The sequence below is a fragment of the Homo sapiens genome, chromosome 3, assembly GCF_000001405.40.
Source record: "Homo sapiens chromosome 3, GRCh38.p14 Primary Assembly".
In the NCBI taxonomy this organism is placed as follows: domain Eukaryota; kingdom Metazoa; phylum Chordata; class Mammalia; order Primates; family Hominidae; genus Homo; species Homo sapiens.
Genome location: NC_000003.12, coordinates 50,247,276 through 50,259,713, shown reverse-complemented (window position 1 = coordinate 50,259,713; position 12,438 = coordinate 50,247,276). Strand labels below are relative to the sequence as shown.

Here is a 12,438-nt window from a genome sequence, read left to right as displayed (position 1 = left end):
CTCTCAGGCCTTGGTACCTAAGTCGGAAGTCACTTTCTCCTTCCGCGCTAGAGAGGCCGGCCACCCCTCCTGCTCCAGGTGTGGAAGAGCACCTTACAACAGCTCCCTTAGAAGCCTGCCCAGCTGCCCGAGACCCAAGGCTGCAGAGTACTGGAAGGGCGGGGACACACGGGCCCCACATGTATGCTGCCTAGTCCAGGTGGGAGAAATGAAGCTCAGAGCGTGGGGCTCCAGGACGGCCCGGAAAGCTGAGTCAGGGCCCTGACTCAGGTTGAGGACTGAGGTTAGGACCACCATCACCTTGGCACACCTTAGCCCAGGCCTCTGCCCCTGGGAGAGAATACCCATCAGTTCTCGGTATTTTTTTTCTTTCTACATTTTATTATTTCAAACCAGGTGAACAATTCCATAAAACATGTGAAAAAAGCAAGGAAGTGTTCAACGCTGAAGGCCCCGGGCCTGGGACAAGGGCATGAGGGGCGTGGCCCCCCAGCAGGCAGCGGCGGTTCCTAGGTTAGCGCTAGGGAGCTACATTTTAGGTTAATAGAGCCTGGGGCCAGGGCCGCTGGGGCAGGGCCCTCAGTGACGTTGGCAGTTGTCTGGAACAGCCCTTGGAACCCAATTCTGTGGAGGGCAGGGCAGGGGTGCCGCTCGCACGGGGGCGGCCAGCAGAGGGACGGGTGTAAACACGCAGACACACTCAAGGCACGGAGTCACTTGGAAGGGGGGCTGGGGGGGGGCTTGCTGGTCAGGATCTGACAGTTTTAAATAGTTTTTCTCTAAAAAGTTTTCTAGATTTGCAGTTTTTTTTTTTTCCTTTACTTTCATTTTTTTAAAAAGCTACGAGAATGAGCAGGTGGACTGTGGTTTCCAGGAATGGTGGCGTCTCACGCTTCTTGTGCTTTTTCCTTTGGGGCCTCCGAGCGGCTGGGGTTGGGGGACTGGGCAGGAGGCTCCCTGTAAACATTTGGACTTGGGCTGGGGCAGGGGCTGGTGTTGGGCAAAGCTGGGGGTCCAGGCTGGAGAAGCAGGGGCCCCTCCAGACGCAGCCTTGGGAGACTCAGCATGTGCCCCCCTCCCCTCATCACAGAACAAGACAATGGTTAAAAACCAGAACAGATGCCCAGAAGGGGGTACCATGGCCATTACCAGCATCTCAGACAAGGGCAGGCTTCAAACAGGGAGGCCTGTGGCAACCCCTCCCCTACGTCTGGAGCTGAGGGGACAGGGGGAGCTGAGAACAAAGAGAGGAAAGAGGAGAAAAGCGGCGGGGGAACAGGCGGGGAGCGTGATCTTCTTGCCCCCATCTTCCTCAGGGGTTGGGGGGTACAAAGTCGGCGGTGGCCCTGGAGGTGGGGGAAAGCAGAGCATGGATCGGGAAGCAGCCAGGGCGTGCCTCTCTCCCGCCTCCCTAGACAATGACCCTTCTCTATTTTTCCTACCCATTTGTTACCAGGGACACAGTTGCCGCCCAGGAGCCAGTTTCTGTTGCTGGGTTACGTGGGGGAGGGGAGTCTGTGGCACTGGGAGAGTCATCCCCACCTCCACCAGGGCCAGTGGGGCCAGCCTAAGCCCGGGACGCTCAGACAAGTCAGAGGGCAAGAGCTGGAGGTGCACATGGAGCTGGTGGTAGTGGGCAGCAGGGCTGGGCTCCGCTGGCATGCAGCTTCCGGCAGGCTGGGCCAATGGCCTGGTGGGTGAGGAGGTGAGATTTCTCCAGGGAACATCAGGATGGCCTCTGGTTCTGTCCCAGGGCAAGGCCAGGCCCTTCTGTCTGGACCACTGGGCCAGGCCTGCTTGTATGACCTCCTCCATGCCCTGCACCTCACTCACTTGACCTCCTGATTCACACCCTGGGCCTTCTCCTCCCTTGTCCCCTGGTCACCTATTGCCCCTCCCCCTCCAGGTTCACCCCCCTACCCACCCCCAGAACCCCCTGCTGGGGCTCCAGGCCCGCTTAGTTCTTCCCCAGCACCCTGCCACAGCCCCTCTGGCTCACCATCCCGCCAGGCCCCGCTGCCCCTCAGAAGAGGCCGCAGTCCTTCAGGTTGTTCTTGATGATGACATCGGTGACGGCGTCAAACACGAACTGCACGTTCTTGGTGTCGGTGGCGCACGTGAAGTGCGTGTAGATCTCCTTGGTGTCTTTGCGCTTATTCAGGTCCTCAAACTTACTCTGGATGTAGCTGGCTGCCTCATCATATTTGTTGGCCCCTGGGGGAGAGAAAATGAAGACTTGTGCTGCATGTGTGGCAGGCAGGCCGCATCCTACGTGTGCAGCAAGGGTCTGTGCGTGTGGACGGCCAGGCATACAACCTGTGCATGCATGTGCATAATATGACAATGTTTGTGGCTGCCCATACATGCCAGATGTGCAAAGGGGTACCCCACTGTGTGAAGGAGGATGCCCATGTACACATGTTCAGGGGTACATGCTTGAGTGTGTTAAGGGCTTCATGTGTGCACACACAACTATACAAGCCTAAGTGAGGCACCAGCCCCTGCCAGTGTTCCAAGGTTACACTTCTGTCCAGTGGGGGGCGCCTGAGGGCCACCTGGTCACCATAGGCTACTTGGGACAAGAAGCAACCCTCTGGAGGCCCTATCCCCACAGTCCCCACACCTGTGTACTCAGGGAAGCAGATGGTCAGGGGACTGTGTGTGATCTTCTCCTCAAACAGGTCCTTCTTGTTGAGGAAGAGGATGATGGACGTGTCTGTGAACCACTTGTTGTTGCAGATGCTATCGAATAGCTTCATGCTCTCATGCATGCGGTTCTGGGGGTAGAATAGCAAGGTCAACGCTAGCCACCACTCCCCAAGCCCGCTGCCCCCACCCGCAGCATTCTCTCATCCTCTCACCATCTCCTCGTCCTCAGCTAGCACCAAGTCATAGGCGCTCAAGGCTACGCAGAAGATGATGGCTGTGACGCCCTCAAAGCAGTGGATCCACTTCTTCCGCTCAGACCGCTGACCACCCACATCAAACATCCTGCAGATATAGATCACCTTAGTTCCAGGAAGGGAGCCTGGGGGAGGCTTTCTACCCCATTTCTCAGGTTGGCTGACTGAGGACAGAGGCCTGCCCAGAGTAGGGCAGCTACCTTCTGGAATCATCCACACTTGCCCACTTCACCCCTGGTTCTGGGCCAGGAGCTTGGACAGCAGGCAGGCTGCAGCCACATCAGGCAGGAGCAGCAGAGGCTGTGAGCAGCTGGCAGAGGTGGCGTGGATCCTGACTGCTGGTTCACTAGGTGGTGAGGATGTGCTTGCCCAGAACACATGAGCCTTGTAAAACCTCAGTGGGGCTGGGGGATCCTGGACCAGCCCCTGCCTCTGCTACCCCAGAGGCTGGCAGGTCCTGCCCCTCCCACCTGTCCACATGCTCGCTCACTTGAAGTGTAGGTCCTTGAAGGTGAAGTGTGTCTCCACGATCCCCGTGGTCTTTACGCGGGTCCGTAGCACATCTTGCTGTGTGGGGATGTAGTCACTCTGTGCAATACGCTCCAGGTCGTTCAGGTAGCTGGGGATGGGGGGTGGGAGGGTCAGTGGGGGCCAGCATGGGGCTTCCTTAGCTGGACCCTGGGCCAGCTGCAAGAGGCCCCTTCCCTCCCATGCCATTTCTCAAGCACAGCCCTTGCTTTTTTTTTTTTTTTTTTTTTTTTTTTTTGAGACAGAGTGTTACTCTGTTGCCAGGCTGGAGTGCAGTGGCATGATCTTGGCTCACTGCAACCTCTGCCTGCCAGGTTCAAGCGATTCTCCTGCCTCAGCCTCCTGAGTAGCTGGGACTACAGGCGCCTGCCGCCCAGCTAATTTTTGTATTTTTAGTAGAGACGGGGTTTCACCATGTTGGCCAGGATGGTCTTGACCTCTCAACCTCAGGTGATCCGCCCACCTCGGCCTCCCAGAGTGCTGGGATTACAGGCGTGAGCCACTGCGCCTGGCCTAGGCACAGCCCTTGTTTCTTTAACCCCTGCCTGCATTACCTCATTGCTCAAATGAAGAAACCTGAACTCAGAGCCCCCGGCCTCCCACCTGTAGAATGGGAATGGGAGGAGGTGCAGCTCTGTGGACAGCTAGCCAGCCAAGCTCCAGCACCCAGGGTCTGAGCCAGACCTGCCTCGGACAGGATCCAGGATGTTGGAGCTATAGGCAAAGAGGGTGGGAGGAGGCAAATTAGTCCTTCGGTGAAGGATTCAGGATGCTAATGGGCGCAATTACGGCATTAGCCGCAGAGCAGCCGGGTGCGGTCCCTCGATGTGGTGCTGGACAGGTTGGGGCCTGCCAGGTCCAGTGGGCTCTTTGCCCAGCGCCCAATGAAATCTGGGTTCCTCAGGGGGAGGGCACAGACACCTGCTTGGCAGGGGTCCCAGGGGCTCCTCATTACCAGTTCCCTTAATTAGTATCAAGGCTACCCCTGCAGGGCCTGCCTCTGCTGCCTGCCTCAATATCCCTGCCATGCCCTGGAGGCTGGTCCCAGGCCTCCAGGCTGCTGCCCAGAGCTGACTTTTCATTCCTGGGGCAAGGCTGCTGGGGCTGGCCCTTGGCTCCCACCAGCACCCAGGCCAAACCAGGCCAGAGGGAAATGATCTCAGAGTAGCAGGGACAAAACAGAAAAACAGGAAGGGCCATGGGGAAGGATGACGCATGTGCTGTGACCCGCATACCATGCCCCGCCCCCTACTGCCAGAGTCCTCAATGTGGAGGTACCATGGTGCATTCCACACCAGCCTCTCCCTTTTCCCCAACAGGTGGGTTCGCCCCAGGGACCCCCTGACTCGCTGCACACTTGGAGGGTTGCTGCGAAGAGGGGCTGAAGGAGCCCTGCTTCCTGTGGTGTTCCAATCCGCAACCCATTCCCAGGGGGAGCTATCAAGGCTTAAACCTGACTGGGAGAACAGGGCCTGTATTCACTCCCAAAACTGTGCTGGGCACACAGTGGGTGCCTAATGTCTGGAGAATAGAGAAAGAGGATGATGGAGAAGCAGGAGGTGGCCTGGAGGTGGCTCTATTCCTGCTTCCTTTGAGTATCATGGGCACCAAGGTCCCTGCTGCTCTGACCCCAAGCTCGCTGGTGGCTGGGCCAGAGATCTCAGGGAGGGGCAGTGGTGAGGCCTGGGGGCCCCCACAGCATTTGGCTGTGACTCCACAGCTCCTGTAGGGGGTACATATTCACAAGAGCATTCAGGCCATGTAAGAAGGGTAGGAGGAGGCTGTTCATGTGGCTTGGACAGGGCTCAGGAATCACAGCCAGGCAAGACCCTCCTCCTCCTCCCACCCACCCTTGCTGAAATCCACCCTATGGGTAGGCTCAGGATTGGATGAACAATAGGAGCAAAAGGGTGTTCCAGTCAGAGGGGACTGGCTTAAGCAGAGATAGGGGAAGGCTAGAGTACAGGGACAGCAGCCTATCTGGTGACACCATCCAAAGCCTGTGGATGTCCCCTGCAGCCATCCTCAATGGCTATTAGCCTGTCTATCCTGTTCCCCGTGGGGTCCTCAGCACCCTGCACCAGTCCAAGTACATGACAGATACCACAGGGAAGGAGTTCAGAACTGTGGAAAGGGTGCAGGCTTGTCATGCCTCTGGGATTCCTGGGACCCCTTGTAATTCCTCAGCCTAGGGCCAGCGAGGGTCACAGCTGAGGTCCAGGGGCTCTGACCTACACACACACCTGTCACCTCCCAGATAACTTCCTCCCCTGTGGCCCCCTCCAGCCAGCCTCCACAGCCTATGTTCAAGCACAGCCAGCTCCCCACCACCCCGAGATGCTGCACATGCTATGCCCCTGCCTGGAATCCCCTCATCCACTCCTCCCCTGGCTGACTCTCCTTCAGAGCTCAGCAATCCTGTCTCTGGGCCAACTCCACCTCTACCTTTTCACTAACACCCTAAATTGTCACTGCATGGGGACTTTGCTCCACTCATCACTGTGTCCTTGAAGCCTGGCACAGAACAGGTGGCAGCAAATGTTCTGAGTCTTGCTCTGTCACCCAAGCTAGAGTGCAGTGGCGCAATCTCCGCTCACTGCAAGCTCCACCTCCCAGGTTCACGCCATTCTCCTGCCTCAGCCTCCTGAGTAGCTGGGACTACAGGCGCCCTCCACCACGCCCGGCTAATTTTTTGTATTTTTAGTAGAGACGGGGTTTCACCGTGTTAGCCAGGATGGTCTCGATCTCCTGATCTCACGACCCGCCTGTCTCAGCCTCCCAAAGTGCTGGGATTACAGGCGTGAGCCACCACGCCCGGCCGCAAATGTTCTTTAGAAGACTGTCAAGACAGATCAGACTCAACTGGCCTGGAAGAGATGTACTGTATAAGCCACCTGCCTGTCATTCCTCCTGGCCTTTCAGTAACGTGACACCCACCCACCCCCCAAACCAAAAAACAGGAAGGCCTTGGTTAACAGTCATCGGTTTCATAAGCAAAGACCAGCAGTGTCCTTCTGGGGGTTCTCAGGCCCTCCGGTCCAGCCTTTAGTCCTCCCCCAGCCCCTGCCCTGCCCTGCCCAGCCCCTCAGAGCACTCACTAGGCAGCTGAGTCGTTGAGCTGGTATTCCCTTGAGCGGCCAAAGCAGGCCTGCACACCATGGTCAGCCCAGAGCCTCCGGATGACGCCGGACAGGTCATCAGGGAGCACGCCTTGCTCCTCGGCGGTGCAGGACAGTGCAAATAGCTGCCTGGCGTCGTCCTGGGCACAGTGGCGGGTGGTCAGGCAGTTGAAGGAATGTACCCCCACTCTGCCAGAGGCAGGGAGACCTCTGGAATGGGGCCCAGGCTAGGGTATTCTTGGATTCCCTAGGATGAGACTTGCCCTAAAACCTTTTTGTTGTTGTTGTTTACTTTTTTCTGTGACGGAGTCTAGCTCTGTCACCAAGGCTAGAGTGCAATGGGGCGATCTTGGCTCACTGCATCCTCTGCCTCCCGGGTTCAAGCAATTCTCCTGCTTCAGCCTCCCAAGTAGCTGGGATTACAGGCACGTGCCACCATGCTCGGCTAATTTTTGTATTTTTAGTAGAGACGCGGTTTCACCAAGTTGGCCAGGCTGGTCCTGACCTCAGGTGATCCACCCGCCTCGGCGTCCCAAAGTGCTGGGATTTATAGGCATGAGCCACCACAACCAGCCACCCCGAAACCTTTTGGGAGGTGGGAGAGGGTGGGGCGGAGGGCACATACCGCTCTGGAGGGGTCGGCAAAGTCGATCTGCAGGTTGCCCATGGCTTTGACAATGGCCATGATGGACTGGATGGTGTTGCTGTAGACAACCGCCCGGTACTGCCGGCATTCCTCCTCGGAGTAGCCATCCTCGTGGATGATCCTGATAGCCAGGGACCAGGAAGGTTAGTGTCCCCTGGGCACTGGGAGTTCCCACGGCTGCCTGGGGCTACTGGGACCTGCTTCAGAGAAGGGAAAACTGCCCCTGACCCACTGGGACCTGAGGGTCCTTCTGCTTCTCAGAAGATTCTGGGCCTGGCTAAGACTGGCTGGGCCTGTAGTCGGGGGCAGTGCAGGCCCAGAGGGTGAAGAGGGGAAGCTGGAGTTTGAGCACTGCCTCTGGAATACAGCACTTACTTCATCTGCTTGACGATGGTGCTCTTCCCTGACTCCCCAGCACCTGGAACAGAGGGCACAGGTGGTCAGGGGGCAGGCCCAGAGGGGCTCCACAGGCACAGAACAAATGCCCAGACACCTGTAGCCCAGGAGGCAGAACTAACCTTCCCACCAGCTGCACCGTGAGATGGAGGCAGCTGGGCCTGGTGGGCAGTTGAGCTACCAGGAATGCAGCTGGCAGGGCCACAGTGGTCAAGGTAACCTAGAGCACCTGTGCCCCATGGCAGACTCTCTGCAGGCCTTTGCCTCCCACAAGCTCTGCTGCCCACCATGGCTCCCCACTGTCCTGGGGGGTCTTGGCTGGAGACTTGGCCAGCCATGAAGGAGCCACCCTGTTCTCACATACATAGGCTCGCCAACCTGTGCAGCTGGTGCATGCCAATATGGTGCCCTGGGCAGAGCTGGCAGGAAGATGCCCTGCATACTCCATCCAACAGGGTAGCAGCCCTTCTTCTCCCCACACTGAGCCTTAGCAACCAGGGGCCTAAGCAGGAGCACAGCGTCACACTTCAGCTTTCTGGACATGGCCCAATGCCCCGCCCTCTGCTCACTGCGCTCAGGTCTGCCCTGAGCAGATGGAGGCTAGAAGGCTAGAATCTAGGAGACCTACAGTGTAACACACACGCGTACTGACTCATGAATCTGGGAGACCTGCGGCGTATCTCACACACCCACACCCACACACGCCCATACTGACTCAAGCTTTTCCCTGGCCTGGTACAGCCCTGGCCCATATTTCTCTTTAGCTGGTACTGAGATTTGCTGCATTCTCTCCTGTATTAGTCACAGCAGATACTGTTTCTGTTCCCATTCTACAGATGAGGACATTGAGGCTCAGAAAAATAAAGTATTGATCTAAGATCATGTAGCCAGGACTCAGAAGGGCAAGAGGGTGGAGGGAACCCATGATGCCTGGTCCACCCTGCCATTCTCAAAATGTGGCTGAGACCCTGCGGGACAATGCCTTGGGGAGGTGTTTAAAAAAGCAGATTCCGCCGGGAGTGGTGGCTCATGCCTGTAATCCCAGCACTTTGGGAGGCTGAGGCAGGTGGATCACCTGAGGTCAGGAGTTCGAGACCAGCCTGGCCAACATGTTGAAACCCCATCTCTTCTAAAAATAACAAAAACTAGCCAGGCGTGGTGGCAGGTGCCTGTAATCCCAGCGGCTCGGGAGGCTGAGGCAGAAGAATCGCTTGAACCTGGGAGGTGGAGGTTGCAGTGAGCCGAGATTGTGCCATTGCGCTCCAGCCTGGGCAACAAGAGCGAAACTTGGTCTAAAAAAAAAAAAAAAAAGCAGACTCCCAGGTCCCATCCCAGACAACAGAGCCAGATCTTGAGGAGTGCAGCCCAGGAGCCTGTATTACCCAGGGAGTCTGTGTAAAGAAGGACCAGGGGGGCCACCCAACTCCCTGGCTGGGGGCCAGAGGGAGTGGAGGCAGGGCCTCACCTTGACCTTGCTCCCTTGCTGCTGGCTTGTCTTGAGCTCCAGGTTGAATGGCCCCCAGCTGGGCCCTGCTGTCCTTCCCAGACCCTGTGCTCCTGCTCCATCACTGCCAGTCACACCTGCAGCTGCCAGGCACTACCTCTAGCTATCTCCAGGGCCCTGCTCATGCTGTTCTCTTTGCCGGGAATACGTGCCCCATGCCCCATTCACAGTGTCCCAATTCTGATCACTGTGGCACGTTTGTTCCTCTGTGCAGCTTAGCTGGGTGGGTAGTAAGGTCTGTGCAGAGGTCAAACTTGGGTACTCTGGCCAAGCTCAACAGCATCCCTTGGGGCTGGTCAAAACAACCTCAGAGGATGAAGGTGCTAACACACAAACGAACACAAGCAGTAACAATAACATCGGCAATATCGACAGCAAAGCTATATGAAAACAGCGCCCACCATGTGCCAGATGCTGCTCTACATCAATGACACCCACCAACTGCCATCTCCACAGCAATCCTGGGAGGTAGGTTCCATTCTCACCCCAATCTAACCAGTGAAGGAACTGAGGTCCAGGGAGGCTGAGGTCACAGGGTTAGAGTCCCCTCTGCAGGGAGCACACTTGCCCACCGTGCAGTCCCTCCTAGAGCTGTCCTAAGTACCTGGTACTGCAGCGGAGCCACACAGTCCACCTGGCACTGGGTTCACTCCCTAGCTCCCCAGGCAGACTCTGGGCCATGTCTGCAGTGCTCAACAAGCGGCAGCAGGCATTGGGACATGGTGGCAGGCCTTGCCAAGGCCCCTGCCCACCTTCAGCCCCCTACGCCAGAGACCACCCTGAGGGGAAAGGCCTGAGCCCTCCTCACAAATGCCATCAGGCGCCTGCAATCACTGAGCTTCTGACTGTCCCAGGCCTGCTTTCCAGGATGAGGGGAGGGGATCTGGGGAGATGGGGAGTGACAGCTAGTTGGGTATGAAGTTTATTTTTGAGGGTGGTGATTATGTTCTGGAATTAGATAGCAGTGATGGTTGCACAATCTTGTGGACATACAAATGTGCAGGCCCTGGGAAGGCTGGGGCGCTGTGGCTGGGGCAGCAATCCCCTCTATTGCTTTAGCCCCTGGGCACTACAGGGGCCGGGCCCAGTATCTTCACTGGGGTGTGTACCGGGATATATACCAGCACCACTCCCTCCCCATTGGGCTGTGCATGGCAAAGGGGCAGCCAGGATCTGCATACCAACACTCCTCCACCTGCCAATGAGGACATGGGGAAAGGTCCCAGGAAAGCCTCACAGCGATGCCTGAACACTTAAGGCCCATCCCCCTGGGGCTCAAAGCACCCACTGGGGCAGGGAGGGCAGCAGTGGCTACCTGACTGTCTTCCCCACTGGCTCCTCCAGAGCAGGAGGAAGAACCAGGAGCCAGTCACAGCCAGGATGGGGGGAACTGCAGGAGCAGAGGCCAAGGATGCGAAGTCATGGGTCCCCATGCAGTCCCGAGCCAGGCGAGCTCAGACTCAGCAGGGAAGCTACCCAGGGCATGGGGGACCTGAGGTCTAGGGTGAAAGCTTCCCCATCTTGTGTGACTTCGGGACTCCTGCCCACTTGAGGCATCAGTTTCCCTATCTGGCCACTGAGAGTGAAGAGGGGGTCTGGCCTTTTGCCCACTCTTAGTAGGTGATGTGGGCCGCTTCGTGACCCTGCCCAGGGACGAGGGTGCAAACTTGCTTTGCATCTGATTTTCCTAGCAGCAGCTAGACCTGGTAGACATGAGGTAGGCAGCACAGAGCCAGTCACACTAGGAGCCAGGATATCTGCTCCCTGCCCCAGCCAGGGAGGGCCCACTTCCCTGTCCCCTTCAAGTTTCATTTTCCCCTCCTAAGGCCTCTTAAATGTTAAGAGAACATTCTCTATCCCAAGCAGGGGTCACTGAAAAAAGAGTTCCACTTGACAGGTAAGCAAATCAAGGTCATGGAGCCCCTATCCCTAGACTCAGGCTGGTCTCTTTGTCTTTCCAGCAGCTGTGACTCAGGCGGGAAGTAGTGAGTGGCAGGACAAGGGTGTGGTGCTGGCAGCCAGGCAGGAAGCAGGGGGAACAACGGGACAGAGGCAGGGGCACAGCCCAGGAGCAGCTCCAGCAGAGAAGGGGGACAGGAGCAGAGGTGGGTGGAGCCCCAGGATGGCATCTGGGTGGAATGGGTGGGGTGAAGAGCTCTCGGGCAGCCCACAGGCTAAGTGCCCTGGCAGCTGTGGGGTAGTAGCTTCACTCTCCCCATCTCTGGCTGGGTCCTCTTTCCATCAGGACCTGAGGGATGCCCCCTACCAGATAAGCTGGCAAGAGGCTTATCTGTGAGTTTTGCACACACCCAGCTCCCCTCGCACCTGCCTCTCAGAGGGGTGGCTGAGTCCAGATTTTTTTTTTGAAACACAGTCTCGCTCTGTTGCTCAGGCTGGAGTGCAATAGCATGATCTTGGCTCACTGCAACCTTTGCCTCCCGGTTCAACCTCTGCCTCCCGGTTCAAGCAATTCTCCTGCCTCAGCCTCCCCAGTAGCTGGGACTACAGGCATGTGCCACCACGCCCGGCTAATTTTTGTATTTTTAGTAGAGACAGGGTTTCACCATGTTGGCCAGGCTGGTCTCGAACTCCTGACCTCAAGTGATCCACCTGCTTTGGCCTCCCAAAGTGCTGGGATTACAGGCGTGAGCCACCGCGTCCAGCCTGAGTCCAGATTTCTGCAAAGATGCTGGGTAGGGGAACTGAGGCAATAGAAGGTGGCATGAATCAGCCCCTCCTGCCCGCAGAGGGCCCCACCAAGTGCTCTGTCCCCAGCTGGGTAAGACCAGAGAGGCCTGCAGAGGTTCCCTGGGGTGGCCTTGGCATTCCCACTGAGTCACACCTCTTCCCACCAAGGAAGAAACCTCTGCAGCCTTTGCCCTGTGGCGCAGTTAGGGCCCACAGCAGGTAGGCAGTAATCATAGTGATGTGCTGGGTGGTGGCAGCTGCTCTGCACTAGAACATCTGCTTCCACTTTGGGAGTGCTGAGCCCCAGAGGAGGGAACCGATGAGAGAAGGGAGACAGTACCACTCCACCTGCGTGAACAAGACCAGCAGGGCCCCTGCAGCAGGAGAGACAGGCCCACAGGTCTTGTCACTTGATGCTTAGTCCAGGCCCCAGCATTCAAGTCACAGCATCTGTTCATCTTGGACCCTCTAACTCCTTAATAGGCTTTGATCTGCTGGGAGGCTGGGACTTGCTACTATCCTTTCTGGCTTCAGTTTCCCCTGGGCAGAGCTGTCAAGCCTCAAGCAGCCAGCCAGCCTGCCTCCCATTTTCAGATCCTCTCCCAGAAGGAGGTCCAGACTTGCCACAGCCCTGATGTCCACTCTGATCCTTCC

At 57.4% G+C, this 12,438-nt stretch overlaps 1 protein-coding gene across 7 annotated transcripts in view, besides 1 other annotated feature; it reads right to left on the bottom strand.

Moving 5' to 3' along the window:
• GNAI2 (G protein subunit alpha i2) overlaps window positions 352-12,438 on the bottom strand; it is a 32,295-nt gene continuing 20,208 nt past the window's right edge. For 5 of the 7 annotated variants that reach the window (XM_047447979.1, NM_001282620.2, NM_001282617.2 and 2 more), the window contains 8 exons: window positions 7,572-7,614; window positions 7,176-7,317; window positions 6,530-6,690; window positions 3,394-3,522; window positions 2,862-2,991; window positions 2,624-2,777; window positions 2,000-2,214; window positions 352-1,346 (listed from right to left, as the gene is read on the bottom strand). In XM_047447979.1, the coding sequence (XP_047303935.1) occupies window positions 2,024-2,214; window positions 2,624-2,777; window positions 2,862-2,991; window positions 3,394-3,522; window positions 6,530-6,690; window positions 7,176-7,317; window positions 7,572-7,614 (950 nt within the window). In that variant the 3' untranslated portion in view covers window positions 352-1,346; window positions 2,000-2,023. Of the gene's footprint in view, window positions 1,347-1,999; window positions 2,215-2,623; window positions 2,778-2,861; window positions 2,992-3,393; window positions 3,523-6,529; window positions 6,691-7,175; window positions 7,318-7,571; window positions 7,615-7,970; window positions 8,095-12,438 lie in introns of all 7 variants that reach the window. The other 2 variants (NM_001282619.2, NM_001282618.2) reach the window with 2 other exon arrangements.
• Window positions 2,478-2,527: a silencer, noted in NCBI's record as "silent region_14388". NCBI's record gives its function as "represses an Ori minimal core promoter by ATAC-STARR-seq in GM12878 lymphoblastoid cells {active_cell/tissue: GM12878}" and the evidence as "EXISTENCE:reporter gene assay evidence [ECO:0000049][PMID:35858748]".